The sequence below is a fragment of the Homo sapiens genome, chromosome 2, assembly GCF_000001405.40.
Source record: "Homo sapiens chromosome 2, GRCh38.p14 Primary Assembly".
Lineage (NCBI taxonomy): Eukaryota > Metazoa > Chordata > Mammalia > Primates > Hominidae > Homo > Homo sapiens.
The window spans coordinates 214,940,405-214,958,846 of NC_000002.12; the positions used below are offsets into that span (position 1 = coordinate 214,940,405).

General features: G+C 36.8%; 1 protein-coding gene and 1 long non-coding RNA gene across 5 annotated transcripts in view; one reads left to right on the forward strand and one right to left on the reverse strand.

The window, feature by feature from the left end:
* SNHG31 (small nucleolar RNA host gene 31) overlaps positions 1-18,442 on the forward strand; it is a 153,377-nt gene that overhangs the window by 130,176 nt on the left and 4,759 nt on the right. Inside the window, exon 3 of the long non-coding RNA NR_110292.1 lies at positions 7,421-7,543. This is a non-coding gene — a long non-coding RNA (small nucleolar RNA host gene 31). The remainder of the gene's footprint in view (positions 1-7,420; positions 7,544-18,442) is intronic.
* ABCA12 (ATP binding cassette subfamily A member 12) overlaps positions 1-18,442 on the reverse strand; it is a 207,085-nt gene that overhangs the window by 8,863 nt on the left and 179,780 nt on the right. For all 4 annotated transcript variants that reach the window (NR_103740.2, NM_173076.3, XM_011510951.3 and 1 more), the window contains 10 exons: positions 17,873-18,050; positions 16,259-16,374; positions 14,798-14,957; positions 13,450-13,703; positions 10,475-10,679; positions 8,636-8,745; positions 8,192-8,333; positions 7,018-7,152; positions 4,597-4,700; positions 2,521-2,613 (listed from right to left, as the gene is read on the reverse strand). Coding sequence is in view for 3 of the 4 variants with exons in the window: in NM_173076.3 (NP_775099.2) it covers positions 2,521-2,613; positions 4,597-4,700; positions 7,018-7,152; positions 8,192-8,333; positions 8,636-8,745; positions 10,475-10,679; positions 13,450-13,703; positions 14,798-14,957; positions 16,259-16,374; positions 17,873-18,050 (1,497 nt within the window). In the remaining variant the exon portion in view is untranslated. The remainder of the gene's footprint in view (positions 1-2,520; positions 2,614-4,596; positions 4,701-7,017; positions 7,153-8,191; positions 8,334-8,635; positions 8,746-10,474; positions 10,680-13,449; positions 13,704-14,797; positions 14,958-16,258; positions 16,375-17,872; positions 18,051-18,442) is intronic.

Below are 18,442 nucleotides of genomic sequence, written 5' to 3' on the forward strand. Positions count from 1 at the left end.
GGATACTGGCCTGAAATTTTCTTTTTTTGTTGTGTCTCTGCCAGGGTTTGGTATCAGGATGATGCTGGACTTGTAAAATGATTTAGGGAGGAGTCCTTCTTTTTCTGTTGATTGGAATAGTTTCAGAAGGAATGGTACCAGCTCCTCTTTGTACCTCTGGTAGAATTTGGCTGTGAATCCATCTGGTCCTGGGCTTTTTTTGGTTGGTAGGCTGTTTGTTAATTAGTGCCTCAATATCAGAACTTGTTATTGGTCTATTGAGGGATTTGACTTCTTCCTGGTTTAGTCTTGGGAGGGTGTATGTGTTCAGGAATTTATCCATCTCTTCTAGAATTTCTAGTTTATTTGTGTAGAAGTGTTTATAGTATTCTCTGATGGTAGTTTATGTCTCTGTGGGATCAGTGGTGATCTCCCCTTTATCATTTTTTATTGTGTCTGTTTGATTCTTCTCTCTTTTCTTCTTTATTAGTCTGGCTAGTGGTCTACTTTGGTAGTCTTTTCAAAAAGCAGCTCCTGGATTCATTGATTTTTTGAAGGGTTTTTCGAGTCTCTATTTCCTTCAGTTCTGCTCTGATCTTAGTCATTTCTTGTATTCTGGTAGCTTTTGAATGGTTTGCTCTTGCTTCTCTAGTTGTTTTAATTGAGATGTTAGGGTGTTGATTTTAGATCTTTCCCATTTTCTCCTGTGGACATTTTAGTGCTCTAAATTTCCCTCTAAACACTGCTTTAGCTGTGTTCCAGTGATTCTGGTATGTTGTGTCTGTGTTCTCATTGGTTTCAAAGAACTTATTTATTTTTGCCTTAATTTCATTATTTACCCAGTAGTCATTCAGGAGCAGGTTGTTCAGTTTCCATGTAGTTGTGCGGTTTTGAGTGAGTTTCTTAAATTTGATTGCACTGTGGTCTGAGAGGCTGTTTGTTATGATTTCTGTTCTTTTGCATTTGTTAAGGAGTGTTTTACTTCCAATTATGTGGTCAATTTTAGAATAGTGATGTGGTGCTGAGAAGAATGTATATTCTGTTGATTTCGGGTGGAGAGTTCTATAGATGTCTATTAGGTCCACTTGGTCCAGAGCTGAATTCAAGTCCTGAATATCTGTGTTAATTTCCTGTCTTGTTGATCTGTCTAATATTGACAGTGGGGTGTTAAAGTCTTCCCCTGTGATTGTGTGGGAGTTTAAGTCTCTTTGTTGGTCTCTAAGAACTTGCTTTATGAATCTCGGTGCTCCTGTATTGGGTGCATATATATTTAGGATAGTTAGCTCTTCTTGTTGCATTGATCCCTTTACCATTAGGTAATGCCCTTCTTTGTCTCTTTTGATCTTTGTTGGTTTAAAGTCTGTTTGTTTTATCAGAGACTAGGATTGCAACCCCTGCTTTTTTTTTTTGCTTTTCGTTTGCTTGGTAGCTATTCCTCCATCCCTTTATTTTGAGCCCATGTGTGTCTCTGCACATGAGATGGGTCTCCTGAATACAGCACACTGATGGGTCTTGACTCTTTATCCAATTTGCCAGTCTGTGTCTTTTAACTGGGGCATTTAGCCCGTTTACATTTAAGGTTAATATTGTTATGTGTGAATTTGATCCTGTCATTATGACGCTAGCTGGTTATTTTGTGTTTGTTAGTTGATGCAGTTTCTTCATAGTGTTGATGGTCTTTACAATACACTTGTAAAGTTAAATGCATTCTAATTTAAAGTAAGCAAGGTCTTGATAAGCAGGTCATTGGAGATTTGGTGTCATCAATAAAAATTAATGTTATTGGGGTTTTAAAAATAAATATTAAATCAATGTGCCAGCTAACTGTTTGCACCAAGAATAGAGTTTGTAAAGAAGTCACAACAGACTCTCTAAGAGCAACACAATGCCTCTTTCATCCTTTTTTCCTTATCTTGGTTAATGCTATCTTGCAAGAAAGTCAACTTGTTATACAGAAAAGTATAAAATATTCTGAAGTTTGGAGATTAACATGGATATGTATAAATGCATATACACTCTGGTGTATACAAACTATTAAATTTGATAGTAGTATGATATTTATGCACATTTCTCCAATGTATTCTTGATTAAAAGGTTTTGAATGTGGTATGAATGTTAGATAGCTTACTGAAAGACTGTGCAAATGGCAAATGAACATGCTAGATACAATCTATGCCTTCATTTACTTGTCAAGTTCTAATTTATTATTGGGTAAACTCTAGAACTTCCACCTGAGAGTAATTTGGTTATGAACTGTTTATTATTTATTCATTTTTTCATCTTTGGCCTTCTAAACTTATGCATTAACTAAAATACATTTATGAGTTAAATTTATGAGTTAACTAAAATATTTAAGTAAAAATTCATCAAATCCCCAATAAAATAATTTAAATTTAAGGTGAGTCAGTGACTAGCTTCCAAAGATTAGCTTGTCCATTCTAGTTTTACTACTTAGGCTGCTGAGATAATCCTTGAATCTGAGTGAGCACCATTAGATAGATGACCCAACACTATCTGTTAAGCAATGCATTTGTTCTTCACCTGCTCTTTATGTGCTGCAAAGATCCAATACATTGAAACTTTCCATTCACCATAATGGCCAACCTGGTACAGAGAGCTTCACATTCTTCCATGCTAAAAGACAAAGCAGGATCATATTAGCATTCAGGATACAGAAAACTTGGGTTGAAGTTCATGAGCATAAGCATAATTGTTTCATTATGGCACTTGGAAATACTATTTTAGTTTTTTTCTTTTCTTTGTTATTTTTTTGAGATAGGGTGTCACTCTGTTGCCCAGGCTAGAGTGCAGTGGCTTGAACATGGCTTACTGTAGCCTTGACCTCCTTTGCTCTAGTAATCCTCCTGTCTCAGCCTCCTGAATAGCTGGGACGACAGATGTGCACGACATCTGGCTAATATTTTAATTTTAATTTTTTTTTGTAGAGATGGGGGTCTTGCCATGTTGCCCAGACCGTTCTTGAACTCCTGGGCTCAAGTGATCCTCCTGCCTTGGACCCCCACAAAGTGCAGGGATTACAGGCATGAGCCACCGTGCCTGGCCTAGTTTCTTGATTCTCTTTTAGTTTTTAGTTCTTTTAAAGGAGAACAAAAGCCAATCTCTTAAAATATAAATTAAATGTCTTCAGATAGGGTTTATTACTGTTTCTTCTAAAACCAAAGGCCATCTCTCTCTCACCTGGAATACCCGCTCCATCAAACCTAGTATTTCTTTCAATCTTTGATTCAAGACCTACACTTCCTTAGAAGTGTTTCCAAAATAACACTAAGCTTTTTCCATTATGCTACGTACCCCATATTCTGTTGGCTTTCCTATTTTTGGATTTATAACTAGTTGGCCTGTACTTGATTATACAGTCTCTAATTTCATGGTCTATCATAATTGGAGGTGATTTTAGGTATTACCCTGTCCACCTCTTACAAAAGCCAATGGAAATTAAATGATTGGCTCCATTGTGCTGGGGCAAACTATGATATAAACAAGTCTCTTGATAATAAGCAAATCTAATACTTTTTCTACTATATGACAATTATAATGCAAACATAAACTTAATACAAATTATAAGACAAGGCCATCCTCATAAGAGAGGCATGGATAAAATGATTTAGTATCTCCTATACTTAGCTGATTGGAAGTGTCTGCTTTGTGGAGGAGAGGTATGTGAGCTGGTTCTGGAAGGACTGGTAAGATTAGAAGTTGGAGAGATTTTGTGAAAAGACCATTTCAGGCCAGGCGGGGTGGCTCATGCCTGTAATCCCAGCACTTTGGTAGGCCAAGGGGGTGTATCATTTGAGGTCAGGAATTTGAGACCAGCCTGGCCAACATGCTGAAACCCTGCCTTTACTAAAAATACAAATATTAGCCGGGCATGGTAGTGGGCACCAGTAGTCCCAGCTTCATGGGAGGCTGAGGCAGGAGAATTGCTTGAACCCGGGAGGTGGAGGTTGCAGTGAGCAGATGTTGTGCCACTGTACTCCAGCCTGGGTGACAGAGTAAGACTCTGTCTAAATAAAAAAAATTAAAAAATAAAAAAAAAATTTCAAATAGAAAGCACAGCCAAAGAAGGGGCTTGGAGATGGGAAAGGGTATGGAGATGGGAAGAATGCAGAACCAGGAAGGAGTCATCCAGATTGACTGATAGGAGAGGGTGTTGCAGGGGAAAAAGACTGAGCATTTAGATGAGGCCATAGAATGGAGAGCCTTGCATGTTGAGCCTAAAGATTCTGAACTTTATTTGACAGGCAATAGGGAGCCACAGACGAGTTAAGAGGGCCATAAGTCATGAGAAATTCGATGTTAAAAAGACTGCTTAGACCTTAGACTCCGTCCCACCACAGGAACTATATTCTCACCATGAAACCTGCCTGACTTGCTCCTACTACTATAAATATAAAATAGTTTGATTGAACTGTGGGCATTCGTTGTCTATATATATACATATATTTGTGTGTATATATTTTGTATGTGTGTATATATATATATACACACACATATATATGTATGTGTATATATTTATTTATGTTATACAGGATTACCTTTTCCCACCTGTCATCCTAAGACTGTGTGGATTCGCTTTAAAGATTCCACTCAGTTTACCTGTGAGATGTGAGGATGACGGAACATTTGTTCTGTACTTCTTCTGAAATGATCTTCCAGAGGTGCCGTTTCGACTTCGGATCCATGCCAGAGCTCGGCTCATCCTTAATAGAAAGTTACAACAAAAATTTATCAAATTAATTAATTTTTGATGAAGTTCTTTTCATGAATTACTGCATTTCACTTCCCTAGAACAGAAATACTTTTCGAGGTCCTGTGACTAACTTGTTTTATACTTAATAGACTTCTTTCTGCTGCTGTCAAAAAGTTCAAAATTAATCATTTAAAATTGTCAATCTGTTTCAAAAAGTGTCTAAGTGAAGTTGACACCCTGTTACTTTACATCCGTCTCTTATGTTTCTTTGGAAAAAAATTCCACTTCAATTACTGGCAAATTCTTATATTTAATTCTATCTTGCCACATATATAAGCCACATCAACAAGATTACCACCCTGTTCCTGGTAGCAGAATTGTGGCTATGAGTGATAATATGCTATGTGAAACAGAAAGAACATAATTTGATATTTCAGTTAATTTGTTTGAGATATATTTTTAGTTTTCTGTTATTAATTGAAATCTAACACTCCTTGGGAAATAAAAACAAGATTTGTAGAAATTGCCAAGTAGAAAGATGTACGTTATTTTTCAAAGTAAATGATGTTATGAAAAATCATTCAGACAGAAAATGTAGCAGTAGATAATCTAAACATACAATAACAGGTTTTGACAGATGGTTAAACAAACTATAGGGCAAGATTAGGTAAAAATTTAAAAAATATACTTGTAACAAAGAATATGTACATAACTAGAGGCTTGTTTTTACAGAATGATGTAAAATCTAAAGAAAGGAATGGGTTATGTGGAAGCTAATATAGTTGAGCTCATAGAAGTGGAGAGTAGAATAATGGTTACTGGAGGCTGGAGGCATAGCGGGGAGAGGAGGATAGAGAGAGATTGGTTAATGAATACAAAATTACAGCTAGACAAGAAGCATAAGTTCTAGTGGTCTATAGGGTGACTATAGTTAACAATAATTTCTTGTATATTTTCAAATAGTTAGAAGAAAGGATTTTGAATGTTCCCAACACAAGGAAATGATACATATTTGAGGTGATAGATAAGCTAATTACTCTGATTTGATCATTACATATTGTATACAGGAATCAAAATATCACACTGTACTCCATAAATATGTATAATTATTATGTGTCAATTAAAATGGTAGTTAAATAATTTTTTAAAAAATAAAGAAATTAGTGTTAATTTGGGGAAACAAAGGATACATTGTCACTGCTCCTGTTTTTGAAGAAGATAGCATATTTAGTAAATGCATATAGAAGAAAACTTGGTATCTTTCATGTCAATATTTCATTTTGGTTCATTAATGCATAATGTTTACATAAAATGTCTAACATTTTAAAGTACTTTACATTTGTTATTTCACAGAGGTGCCTAAAGATTGTTTTGTTCAATTTAAGGAACATTTACACAATAGAATTCCATTATAAGCATCGATTGGCAGAGATATAATGCATTATAAGCTTCTGGTATTATAGAAAGATGGGCTGTGCATCACTTTATCTGGCAGTTGAAATGATTTGATCCACTGTATGACTTAATCCCTGGAATAATGTGGTGATTTATAGCTGCATTATGATTCCTTATAGTTAAGGCTCTTTCAGAGTTTGGAGGTCCTTGAATGAACGGGATTTTCCAAAATAAGGGCAAGTATATTTTTCTGAAATAACCATCCTTTGACAAAGTTAGACTTGGGGTGCAGAATATTAACATTACTACTATGTGTAATTTATATTTCCAGGTAATCAATTAAATTTTCCATCTCTTAAGAAAAATGTAAATGTGGAATGCATTTCTTCCCCACCCTATACCCCCCACATTCAGATGACATAGGATGGATCCATCACATCCTAAGCTAGATAACTCATATTTTAAAGTAACAAGGAAATAAAATTTTAGCACAACACATTGTCCTAAAATGTGTCTGTCCTCCATAGTAGAAGCTGGAAAATGTGAGTTTACCTACTCAGTTCCTAACAGAAAAAGAGAGATGATTTCTTCAATAGGTGGGAATCAGATGCTACCATATTCCGTAACTTACTCATTTGAGTACCCTGAATTTGTTTCACTTCCCATTTCCATGCCAGTGTTTCCTTGGAAACGCACTAAGCTATTGCTTTCAGATAAAACATTTTTGAGAGCATATTGTTGTGGTAACAAATTATTTGCTGATATAAAATCCTTTATTGAGATAGTATACATAAAGTGCTTTGCACAATAGCTAGCACATAGTGAGACCTCAATAAATGTTGACTGCAATCATGATGATGAAATGTTAACACATGCAATCAGATATGCTGTTCTAATTATGGAGTGGCCTGTTTAAATAATGATTCTCTTACCAGCAGTAGAATGGAAGGTTTCCCTATCAAGGCCAGTGCAGTGGATAATTTTCTTTTTGTGCCATAACTGCACATAGAGGTAGCTCTGTCCTTGAAGGGCATCAGGTGAAGTCTCCTAAGGAGTTTATGAACAGTCTGTAGGCAATAAAAGGGGAGTTAGGTTGACCTTCCTGTGCCAAAACCCTTAAAGCACTAAATGGAAAAAAAAAAGATGCTCATGAAAAGAAAATGTTATCATGGAGAATATATCTGGAAAAAAATGAAAACACTTAAATTCAACATAGATTTTATTTTCAAAGAATCACTTAAGGATTAATAGTTTATTTAAAGAGATTCTTTGGAGGCTCATTTTCAGATGGGATTCCCTCCCCCACCAAACGTGTGTGTGTGTTTACAATTGCAGATTGAACTTTTTGCTGCATTACCACAAGATTCTCTAGTAAGGCTTAATAGAGCTGAAACAGAATTCACAAGACAGGATTCTCACTGACTGTTACCCCTGCGTCCTCTTTCTCCTTACTGAGGGGTGAGTTGTCACAAAGGCTTTCAATCTATTTAAAACTGACCCAGTACCAAAACGTTAGCACATTAGGAATCATGGGTTCTTGCAGTTATTTCTGAAGTTAAATAGTCCTGGCAAATAATGAAATCCTAGTTGAATTTAAACAACAGGTCCTCAGGATTTCAAAAGTAGAAGAAACTGCCCTAAGGGTCAGCCATCTCATTAAAATGGCAAATAGTTGCAGTGAGATCTAAAGCCACAGATTAAAAACCAAAGTGGAAACGAATCTATTTTACTTGGGCATTTTGCCGTTAACTGTATGTGTCAGTGCTAATCCAAACACTAAAAGATGTATAGGCCTCACCACCCAGTGCTCAGCCCAGAGCCTAATGCAAGTGTGATCCTGTATTTGACAGTTCTTAAAAGGGTAACTGAACAAACACGGGCCAAGGAGTTTCTAAAGCTAATTTCATAGGTGCATATATAATGCACATGACCAAACTAAGAGGGACTCACTGCCATTGCCACTGCCAGAAGGAAAATGACAATGTTTTCCAGGTGGTTTTGAGGGGAAATGGTGGGGCAGGGGGGACAGTGGGTGTGGTGGGGTGGGGGATGGAAGTAGAAACAATAATGGTTTCAAATTAAGTAATTTTTCACACTTGTACTCACTTCTTTAATATCCTTTTCTGGAATTCCATGTACCCTGGCATAGAAATACAAATGTTCTTCCACAGTTACCAGGTCATCTAAGGCATCTTCCTGAGGACAGTAGCCAACTAATGAGCTGTGAGAATCAACGTGACCCAGAGATCTGAATTGAGAGAATCAAAAACACAGATGAATTTCAAAAGATTTATCCCTCCTGGTTCCCAAATGCTGGGAAGGTAGCTCTATTTTGGTCATGGTGGTCAGTGACTTTGATAAAAAGGGATAAAATAATCCCACTATCAAATTCACATTTAAACATTTAAACATTTCCACCCACCTTAATAGCTTTGTTCTCCCCTAAGGACTGAATAATATAACCACAAAATAACATTAAATGTTCATTTCAATTATTTTTCTCATTTAAGTATGTTGTACTCGCTAAATTGAAGCATTAGTTTTTCATACCCGGTCTTATTTCTGATCAGAATGTTTCCACTTGAAGGAATGATGTCTCCTGTCAGCATCTTGAATATAGTGGTCTTTCCTGCTCCATTCACTCCAAGAAGCCCAAAACACTGGTTTGAGGGAGAAAAAGAAGATATAAGCCTTAATCCAAACCAATGAGACATTGCTTTTGTATCTCTCCCTCTTCTCCCTGGGTGAAATAAATTACCGAGAAAAATAAATCTCTGGAATTATTCATGGATAGTGTAATGCTCTTGATAAAACTTTCTTTTTTAAAACAAATGGATACCATGTATTCTTTTTCCTTTAACCATCTGAATATATATATATATATATATACACACACACACACACACACACACACAGGACCTATTTTACATGTTATGTTATATCATCCCTCTATGTGACATGATAAAATACCCCACAAATAAGATCTGCTAACCCAACAAAGTAATTATATTTATACATTTCACATTATTCACACAAAATCACAACTTCACTGAATAAACTATCGCGGCAATAGTTTCTTCGTACTGTCAAATTTGATGCGTGTAGTTTGCAGCTCTGCTTAGAAAACCAAGTGGCACAGCCAGATTTGCTTTCTCTTTTCAATGCTGCCTTAATATCGCTTCTGTGAAAATGGCAAGAATATAAATAAATAGATGCAGTCCTAGGACCTCACTTCTGAAAACTGATGTCTTTATGATGTTTTTTGGGGAGGACTGGAAATGAAAGGGTGAAGACAGCACCCTGAACAGGCTTCCTGACCAAAGTCTACCCCACAGTAAGTGGACAGTAGTTTAGGAAGGGGCTCAGAACTTGCTGTGTGGTAGGACCTGTTGAATTCCCTCCGCCAAGCGGGAAGACTCATAGGGTAAATAATAATAACTTTTGCACCAACCTAATACCTGGACATGTGTAAATTATATATACAGTCAGCCCTCCTTATCCGAGTTTCTAACCTTTGGATCCAAAGGTTTGATTGAAATATATTCAGGGGGAAAAAATCATCTGTACTGAACATGTACAGACTTCCTGTGTTCTTATTCCCTAAACAATACACGATAACAACTATTTACATAGCATTTACATTGCATTGGGTATTATAAGTAATCTAGAGATGATTTAAATATACAGTGGGATGTGCATAGATTATATGCAGTACTACAGTACTACATTATTTTATATCAGGGACTTGAGCATCTGTGGATTTCTGTGGATTTTGATATCCTTGGGGGTCCTGGAACCAATCTCCCATGGATATGGAGGGATGACTCTATATGTGTATACATATATATGTGTATATGTGTGTGTATATATATATATGTGTGTGTATATATATATCTGTGTGTGTGTGTGTGTGTGTGTGTGTGTGTGTGTGTATATATATGCATGTGTGTATATTTTCCCATGGAAATATTCAGATTAACATTTATATTTCTAGAAAAAAATTGTGGGAAAATAATTAAGATTTTTTTTTTTTTTGAGGCAGAATCACTCTGTCACCCAGGCAGGAGTGCAGTGATACAATCTTGGCTCACTGCAGCCTCCACGACCCAGGTTCAAACTATTCTCGTGCCTCAGCCTCCCGAGTAACTGGGACTACAGACGTGCGCCCCCATGCCTAGCTAATTTTTCTATTTTCAGTAGAGACGTGGTTTCACCATGTTGGCCAGGCTGGTCTCAAACTCTTGACCTCAAGTGATCCACCCACCTCGGCCTCCCAAAGTGCTAAGATTACAGGTGTGAGCCACTGTACCTGGCCAATAATTAAGATTTTAATTTGTCACATAGTATGCCAATGAAAAGGACAGTTAGAAACAAAACACAGTTTCTTACCTCTCCAGCAGGTATCCCAATGCTGATGTTGTTTACAGCTATAATCTTTTTGTGGATAAGTTGGTAGGTCTTTGTGAGACAATAAAGTTGGACCAAGTCAAATTCAGCTGCACCACTCTCAACTCTTAATCTCTCAGCCCGCACATCTTCATCCTCATCTATTGTCTCCCTTACATGTGAAGAATTAAATTTTCTGAAGAAAAGCCTAAAAATGGACCCAGTGATTTTACGTCAATGATTTTGAAATGACAGCATTCAATTTTGACATGTTTTGATGGGTTTTCATGTCACTAACAGTGTACTAGTCATCATTAGACTTCTTTTACATTTGTAATGAATTATGCTACTCAGATAACTTAAATCAGTATAGACCCTCCTCACTGTATTCACTATATTTGTGAAACAGCTTTTGTTCTCCATGCCTTAAATGTTTACAGATCCACTGTTAAGATTTATAATTCTAATTTCAGTAATAAGGAATACAGTAAGTATATGTTTGAAGGTTAGTTCCTAACAGAGGAACTAAGGAACTCCAGAATCATTAGGAAAACTCATCATCTACAAACCTAAGACCAATGATCACCTTTTAAAAAAATCCTTTCATCCAGGTGTAGTGGCTCACACCTATAATCCCAGCACTTTGAGAGGCCGACGGATCACCTGAGGTCAGAAGTTCAAGACCAGCCTGGCCAACCTGGCAAAACCCTGTCTCTACTAAAAATACAAAAATTATCCAGGCATGGTGGTGCACACCTGTAGTCCCAGCTACTCAGAAGGCTGAGGCAGGAGAATTGCTTGAACCTGGGAGGCAGAGGTTGCAGTGAGCCAAGATCACGCTACTGCACTCCAGCCTGGGCGACAGAGCAAGACTCCGTCTCAAAAAAGAATGTTTTTTTCAATTAAATTTAAAAAGCCTCTCTTCTTTTTAATTTTAGAAACAGCATAAGATCTACCCTTTTAACAAAATTTTAAGTGCATAATACAGTATTGTTAACTATAGGCACAATATTGTACCGCAGATATATCTACTTTTATAATCATCAATAATATGAATACTATTGTTATTCTGTACTTGTTTTACTAATGTCTCACCTAGGATTTAGCCAATATTTTAAGGTTATCAGCCCTCCAAACTCATTAAGTCCCAAACCCACCTTGATATATTGGCTAACAAATACCAAAAAAAAAAAAAATTTAAAGAAATCAATCCAGGCTTTCTTCCCAATGTCCCTGTTTCTTCTGATGAGATCCCCAAAGACCCCAACTGTAATGTTTCTTCTAATCTTCCTTATTCCAAAATCATGTAGTCAGTCTCCAAATACTGGAAATGCCTTTTTTTTGTTGTTTTTTTTTTTTTTTTGAGACGGAGTCTCGCTCTGTCACGCAGGCTGGAGTGCAGTGGCGCCATCTCGGCTCACTGCAACCTCCGCCTCCTGGGTTCAAGCAATTCTCGTGCCTCAGCCTCCCGAGTAGCTGGGATTACAGGTGCGTGCCATCACGTCCAGCTAGTTTTTGTATTTTAAGTAGAGATGGGGTTTCACCATGTTGGCCAGGCTGGTCTCGAACTCCTGACCTCAGATGATCTGCCCGTCTTGGCCTCCCAAAGTGCTGGGATTACAGGCGTGAGCCACCGCACCTTATAACACCCTATCGTGGATTATTTTCTGCCTAGTCCTATAGGCTTTTATTCTTCTCACCTAGATTTCTCCAGGAGCTAAAACTGCTCCAGGGTCTCTGACTCTTCCATTCCAATCTGCACTCCATCTACAAAATTACACTTCTTCAAGCACAACTTGATCATGTTTCTCTCTGTTCAAAAACTCTCAATGAATGTCCATTTGTTTGTTGAATAAAGCCCAAACCATATTTCTTTACCAAGCATTTAAGAGATTCCATAATCTCCCAACCACATGTTAAACTGTAACTCCTACTTTTTCATTACATTTATTCTGTTCTGATTAAATTGTAATACTTCTTTCTTAAATATGCTCTTAATATATTTCTCTATCTCTGCTCTTTTATTTCCTCTCATTGTTTACTTAACATTGTATTTTTCAATAGGTGATACATGTACATGTCATTAAAATTTAAATGGTACCGAAGATGACAGTAAAAACTGGTCATCTTCAACTGTATATATCTCTCATCAGCAGAGGCACTCACAATTAGAGATAGTCTATGGATATGTCTGCATAAATATTTCTTTTCTTTTTAACTTGAATGGCAATATACTTTACACATAGTTCTGAACCTTGCATTTTTAAATAAGTAAATATTAAAGACACTTCCAAATGTTACATAGAGAACTATATCATTTTTTCTAATGGCTGTTTAATGTTCTATTAGTGAATCTATGTATATAATTAAACTAGTCCCTAAATGAAGGACGTTTATGTTGTTTCTATTCTTTTGGTATTAGAAATGGTTACCATGATGAATAACTTTAAACATACATAAGTAAGTCTGTGTATCTGTGACCATATATGCAAACATTCCAGAAATGGAATTGCTGGGTCAATGGCATGTGTATTTCTTCTCATTTATGATGCTGTCTTCACTTTTTCTTAATCTTCTTTTCCCAAACTCATTGCCAACATGCTCCACACTCAATCCTCTTTCCCCATTTCTGCCTTGAAAGTGTTTTCCATTTTCCCAAACTCAACTCAAAGACTACATCTTTTGTTCATTTACATATTTTCACTTCACCACTGTACCTTAATCTATTTAAGGTTAACAACTGTGCTTATTTAATTTTATTCCCTCACTCAACAGCAATAGTTGCAGTCACATATTAAGATTTGATAACTACTTACTAGAATAAAATAAATAGTGAATTATGCTAGAATTTTTTAAAAGTTTTTGAGCCAAACATTTCCATATTACCAATGGAAAAGCTTAGACTATTGACTTCTTTCTCAATAGGTTGAATTGAGTTCTGTTTTAGATGTCAAACGTTATGTTTTCATTATATTTACCTGAGTTTCTTTATCAGGGATTCGTTGATTAAGAGTCGCAAGGAAAAAAACATGGTGCCCTGAGAAACCAAAGCCACAAACATTGCACCTAGTTTATTCATCTCAAAGGTTTCATTTGGGTATTCCACTCCATATGCTTTTAAGAAGTCTAGGACCGACTGTTGTTGAGAAAGTTCAATCAAACCGTAGCCAAAACAGAATTGTGGGAAAATCAGGAAAATGCGCTTGAGGGTTTCAGAAATAAGTTCTAAAGTCTGAAATAAGAGAAATAAAAATAAAACTCAGTGTTAAGTTTCCAAAAAGCTGACAAAAATTTAAAACTAGATGGATGTAGACAAATAGTGAAACCTAAAAAGCTTATCTAGATTGGCAATTATTTCCCATATAGGCTGAATTTGCATACAAATATTTAGTATACTAAATGGTGGATGTTTATCACTGAAATACAAGCAGAAAATCATTATATGAGGCCACCTATAATGTTGGACCTAATCCTGGAGGCAAAATTATTTCTAGACCTACCTTTAATCCCAGGAATGTAGGGCTAGCCAGTGTGTTGGGGTCTGTTACACGGTATCATTATGTGCCTGAGGGAGGGAGGTACTTGGTACAGTAAAGTTTTGGAACCCAAGGTAATCCCTACTTGGAGAGGGACTAAAATGCTGAAATGAGGTAGAAGAAGAGCCAACATGTCTCGAAGAGGGACAAATAGCTCATTTTCACATTATTCACACGTGGGCCAACTACTTCCACTTCATGAATTTTCTTCCTTCTCCCAGAGTATGCTTGTCTAGTCCTCAGTTCACTTCATTTCCTCTCTATTCTTTTCTGTTCAATTGCCTGACACTGTTAGTGCTTCTCTTCTCACTAATCGTAATTGTCAGCTCTGAATGGAAAGTGATGCTTACAATGAAGTAGTCTCCAATACATGATTGAAAGGGGATGAATTAGGTTTTTTCTCTATGAATGTTCAAATGAATCAAAGCTCACAGTCATATAACTAAGTCGTTGTCCTTGTCACCACCATACCATAAGAACTTGTTAATGAGTAAGATGTTTAGCTGACCAATGGTTGCGTGATTTATGTAGTGCCGCACAATACATCTGATTTCACCTCTGTCACCACATTCAAGCCCTATCAGGTGTCAATAGTTTTGACGCTCAATACATACAATGATAGGCATTAACTTAGATGAGGCCCAAAAAGAATTTTAAAAGCTGTAGTTTCTCCTCTCCCAAATTTAATAGAATCAAATGATATTCTTCTTTTTTATGTAGAATAAATAAAATCTTTCCACCTGGAACATGTTGAAGCTTTTGATAAATTCACTGAAATAAGGGACCTTACCGGATCATTAGGCTTTTCCTTGGAAAGAAAGTATACCACTGACAGGGAAACAATGGAATTAATGCCAAAAAACAAGTTGACACAGACGTAAGTGATGAAGGCCATTCCTGTTTCATGGAAGAGCCCAGCCAGCAAGTACATCCAGGAAAATGTTGCATACCTGCAGGTTAAAAACACAAAGAATTAAAATTACGCCTCGGCCAGGCATGGTGGCTCACACCTGTAATCCTAACACTTTAGGAGGCTGAGGCAGGTGGATCACTTGAGCCCAGGAGTTTGAGACCAGCCTGAGCAACTTGGCAAAACCCTGTCTCTACAGAAAAATATGAAAATCAGCCAGGTGCGGTGGCACGCACCTGTAGCCCTGGTTATTTGGGAGGCTGAGGTCGGAGGATCAAGCTGTGGTGAGCTGTGATCATGCCACTGCACTCCAGCCTGGGTGACAGAGTGAGATCCTGTCTCAGAAAAGAAATGCCTTAATTATTCTATTTTACAAAAAATAACAATTTAGATGGGCTTCCAAAGTAAAAATAACCATTAGGGATGAGTTGTCAAGCCTTCTAACTAGATCTCTCTTTCATTCCTTTTTGACAAAAAAAATCCAAAGAGTTTTTTTTAAAGACAGTAAAAAGCCTCTTTAAGAAACCTTGAGTAGTTCTACATCATTAAAACTACAAATTAATCCCTCCTGAATATGGTATTATCCCGCCTAGGCAAGCCTTTTAGGTTGCTCAGAAATATGAGTTTAATCAGTATAAATCTTATAATTTAAAGTTGAGGAAAAGTAATGACACTGTTCAAGTCTAGCTGAGCAGAAAGAGCATGCTTAGAAGCTGGCTAGCCTGTTTTGAGCAAAACCTTGAGCAATTTGGGGGGCAATTAAATAGATCTAGAGACAGAGTTCCTGCATTAGCTACAATTGCTAATTAAGGGTTACTACCATGTATTCAGGGCAGAAAGATTTGTTATGCTAAGCATTGATTATATCAGCCTGTGTTACCTGTATTAGCTTAAGATAGAAACAATATTATGTGTGTGTCCTTATACATCTATAAAAAGATAAATATAAGTAAGTATACATGAAGGTATATGCACTTCATAATGCTACATATACTCATATAGTCAATACATAAATTTATACATGTATACACATTTTCTCATCATTCTAAAGCTTTCATTTTTATGTAAATGAGATCACATATGTAAATTAGAAAGCATGACACTTGGCACCCAATAAATGCTTATTAATTTTAGGTATTACTATTAATAACAACATTAATTTTCAAAAGTATTATACTTTGCAGTCTATGGACTAGCAAGTGCAATGTGTTGTTAGTCATCACTCATGTCAAATGAAACCCCAAGACAATTGTAATTTAGCTAATGAGATTTAAGTCCTATTTGTGTCTAGGGGCATTTAATTCTATTAATTCTTCTTTCATTGCTTAATCAGCAGCTTACCCAAACAGGAGAAGTAGGAGAGATACAGCGCCTAGGTTGTTTTCACTGTAGAATGCAGGTAATTTGAAAATCGCAATGATACCAATTGAAAACGCTACAGGCACCAAGTAGAAAACCTATGGAAATATTCAAAACAATGTTTAATACGTGACAAGCATTTTTCAAAAAAAAAAAAATCAATAACCCATCTAGTTTAAAACTGCAACAAGTTGACCTAGAAAAATTTGAAGAAATGAATTCTTATTTATGTTCCCATTGCTTCTAACATTCAACTTATTTTACATTGATTTCACTTTAGAATTTGTCTCCTGCAATATGAGGTTAAGCCAATCTCCATCTTTAACAGATATACAAGGAGTCCCTGGTGTTCCTGCCTCTAGGCTTTGAGACTTGGGATGGTTCAGTGACAGAGGTTCAGTGAGAAAGATAAGACAGCCAGGTATCTTGGTATTACATTCAGTCCTCAAAGTATTGATTTCGTTTTGAATGCTGGAACTTTCTCAGATGGTTGATTTCTAAAGCTTGGTTATCAGTGTGAACCACTCTGTGCAAAGCAGCAGGGCATCAGGTCCCACATATCCTCATAATCACAGGTATACGAACAAAGAACTTAGCATTTTGTTGGCAAGTAGAAATATTTATTAAATGCTGAGGAGTTTGCAGGAAGATGGACACAATGAAGGTGGTGGTAACTTAATTTGCAGGGTGGGGAGGAATCTCCTAAATTGGAATGAGCTCCAGATATAAGACAACAGAATCCTAAAGTACTAAGTAGACCTTCACAGAAGTATGTACTTGAAATTTTCTTAACATTAAAGCTCCTGTTAAGTCCTGAGAAGTCATTACTATTCTTTTAGATTTGACTTCTACAACAAACACATTTTAGACCTCACTGGATACATTAACAAAATGGATATGCAGTTAATTACTCTCCAACCCTTTAAGCCGATGATCTTGACAGCAACTCAGACAATTTCACCATAATCACCAGGCAAATGCATACCCATCCTGGGCTTTTGGCCAACATTGGTATGTTTGGAGTCCAGAACAACCATCTGAACTTGGGACCATTTTATGCAAATGAGAGAGCTATCAATGAAATACATCCCTTCTTTTTCCTACTAATCTTCTCTAATGTGTCATTAGCAGGGGCTACTACTTCGCATTTTCCACTATTAGTTGATTAAATTTTTATAAGCTTGATTGTTTGGCACAATTACGTAAGGATATTTTGCTGCTAAGCTTCTATTTCTCCACAGTACTGACTGTAAGACTTCAGCGTGCTTAGAATCACCTGGGGGATCTTTTTAAAAATGCATGTTCTCCACGCTCCCCTCCTAAGATATGAATTTAACAGATCTGGAGTGAGGCCCAGAAATCCTCATTTTAAGTGCCCTAGAGAATCTGATATAGTCCACAGAGATGAGGGCCGGTAGGTTATGTTTCCTCCAACCACTGGATGAAGATAAGCCTGACTCAAGTCATTTTCTTTATTTCCTGTCTTTGTGATAACAATTTGAACAAACTAGAGTAAATAACTCTTGAATAGAAAACTGATGTCTTCTATCCAAATTGATCTTTTATTCCCTGCAATGAAGGACATAAGTTACTCACCATGTCATAAATGAAGTTTGTTACCCAGTAGCATGTCACGCCAATGCCTGAAATGTGCTGCAACTGTTTGGCTTTGGTTTGATGTTCCCTTACAACATAGGTGACAAAGCTGGCGGTGGTGACAGAGTAGCCCATCAAGATAGACAGTGCCACTAAAATATCGATTAAACTGCTGATTCTAGAGTGAGCAATAGGGAGAGGAAAACACACATAAGTTTTTGAAACTCTTTTCCTTTCAGAAAGATTCATAACTAAAACCATCAAGAAAACAGTACAAGAGTTGGCTGTGACACAAATAAGGCATCCTGCAAGGCAGCCAGATAATATTTCCAACGTGACTCTACCATGACCCTAGAATAAATGTAGTTCTAGTGCATCTGAATTGACTAGGGATATTTGATAGAAAAACCTCGGTCTCCAACGGTTACAGAGTCTATGCAAGGGATATATCATTCTTGAGCATAGGAACCATACTTAATTGCTATGCAGGGAAGTTGAAGTGATGTAGCACTTATCACTTGACTTATAAAAGCAGCAAACGCTGTGAGTCTACAGTCAACAAGCTCTACT